Here is a 2198-nt window from a genome sequence, read left to right on the forward strand (position 1 = left end):
AGTTTATCATTACCTATTATTATCAATTTATTACAAAGGAGATTTTAAAGGATACAAATGAATAATGGCCAGACTAAGAGATACGTTGAGTGAGGCCACAGAGGGTCCTGAGCCCAGGAGCTTCTGTCCTTGAGGAGTTAAGGTGCACCACTCTTCTGGAACATGGATGTGTTCTTGTTCACCAACCTGGAAGCTCTCCAGACCCTGGTGTTCAGTGTGTTCATGCAGGCTTCATTACTTAGGCACGATTGATTAAAGCATTGGCCATTGGTGATTGAACTCAGTCTCCAGTCTCTCTTCCTTCCCTAGATGTCAGAGGATGGGGCTGAAAGTTTCAACCTTCTAATCACATGGTTGGTTCCTCTGAGAACCAGCTCCCACCCTCCAAGAGTCACCTCCTTAGCATAAAATCTGATATGGCTGAGAAAGCTTTATTATAAATAACAAAAGAGGCTCTGCTCATACCCACCACTCAGGAGAGTCCAAGGGTTTTAGGAGTTCTGTGCCAGGAACTAGCGACAAAGCTCAAATATATATATATATATATATATACACACACACACACACACATATATATATATATATAATTTTTAATATTATCATTATTTGTCATTTCATTTTTGGCCCAGTCTGGTCGCAAACTCTCTGGCCTTAAGTAATCCTCCTGCCTCGGCCTCCCAAAGTGCTGGGATTACAGGCTATATTTCTTATTATGATGCAATATCCCATAGACTCTGCAGCACTAATTTTTAAGCACATTTTAAACACCCTGGTATTAATAGAAAATAAGGAACAGTTTTTAAGAGACATAGGAAATCCCAGAATCCCCAAAGGAAGGAGAGATCTATGCAGCTGGGGGTGGAAGGGGTCTGGAATTGTAAGAGTCTTTCTGACTGCAGCAAAAAGAAATGCTCATTCCACCCGGAGGGTTACACACCCACAAACCACCTGCTGCCTGTCATAAGGCTGGCTCTTGCCATTTCCTCATCTTTGCCAAAAGCTTTATGCTTTTATCTTAATTGATTAAGATTTATTTCTCTGGTACCACCACTCAAACCTTAAAATAAAGGCAAGAAATGGCATCCGGCCTCTGTTTAAGCCCTCCACTTAAGACCCTGCCTCCCTTCCATTAACATTCTTCTGAAGACAGAAAAAGACAAAAATTCCCAACACCAAAAATGAAGCATATTGACAGAATCTGAGAAGACTCCCCACAAACATGAGTCTGATGGAACTTGACTGACGAAAGCAGCCAAGAGCGTGGGGGATGAAGCAAATCTGCTGGTCACCTTCCCATGCCAGTCTGCTCTCCCTCTGCAGTGCAGGCACTTCAATCCAGAGGGTGCCCGTGCCCCAGCCGTCCCTCACACCCTCATCAGGACTTGCTTCCACAACTAATGAGAACCTGAAAAGCCAGGAATACAGTCGGGCGGAAGCAGCGCACTGCCTCCTGGGAGGTGTAGGCACCAGACTTCAGCATGAAAATGCCCTGTCATGCCAGGAGACTAAGCTGGAGGAAGAGCCGCCAGACGCTGGGAAGTTAACTCAGCCCTGAGTGTACCTGACATGTGCCTGTTAACACGAAAAGAGGATTCAACGTAGGCTCCAGGACCCAGAGGACACACAGGAATCCACATGCTGTGTATATTAGCAACCATTGTGTTTGGTTAGCAATGAGTCTTACGGGGAAAAATGCAATAAAAAAACAAGAGAGAGAGAGAAAGGGAAAAAGAAAGGGCACATCATCTTAAAGACTCTTGGAAATATCAGACCTCTAAAGAGGTAATTTCAATAGGATGTCAGGAGATATGGCATCTTTGAAATAGTAATAGGACACCTAAGCAGAAAACAGAATATGAGGTAGAAAGAAAGACAGACAGAGAGAGAGAGAGAGAGAGAGAGAGAGAAGGCGTGGTGGCTCCTCACGCCAGTAATCCCAGCACTTTGGGAGGCCGAGGCAGGCGGATCACCTGAAGTCAGGAGTTTGAGACCAGCCTGGCCATTATGGTGAAACGCCATCTCCACTAAAAATACAAAAATTAGCTGGGCTTAGCGGCAGGCACCTGTATCTCCAGCTACTTGGGAGGCTGAGGTCGGAGAATCACTTGAACCCATGAGGTGGAGGTTGCAGTGAGCTGAGATCGTGCCACTGCACTCCAGCCTGGGAGACAGAGTAAGACTCCATCTCAAAAAAAAAA

General features: G+C 45.1%; 1 annotated feature.

Annotated features, from left to right (window-relative positions):
• Positions 1388-1888: an enhancer, noted in NCBI's record as "H3K4me1 hESC enhancer chr11:128523817-128524317 (GRCh37/hg19 assembly coordinates)". NCBI's record gives its function as "activates a minimal SCP1, AML or CMV promoter by ChIP-STARR-seq in primed H9 embryonic stem cells {active_cell/tissue: H9 hESC(primed)}" and the evidence as "EXISTENCE:reporter gene assay evidence [ECO:0000049][PMID:30033119]".

Source organism: Homo sapiens, chromosome 11, assembly GCF_000001405.40.
Source record: "Homo sapiens chromosome 11, GRCh38.p14 Primary Assembly".
In the NCBI taxonomy this organism is placed as follows: Eukaryota; Metazoa; Chordata; class Mammalia; order Primates; family Hominidae; genus Homo; species Homo sapiens.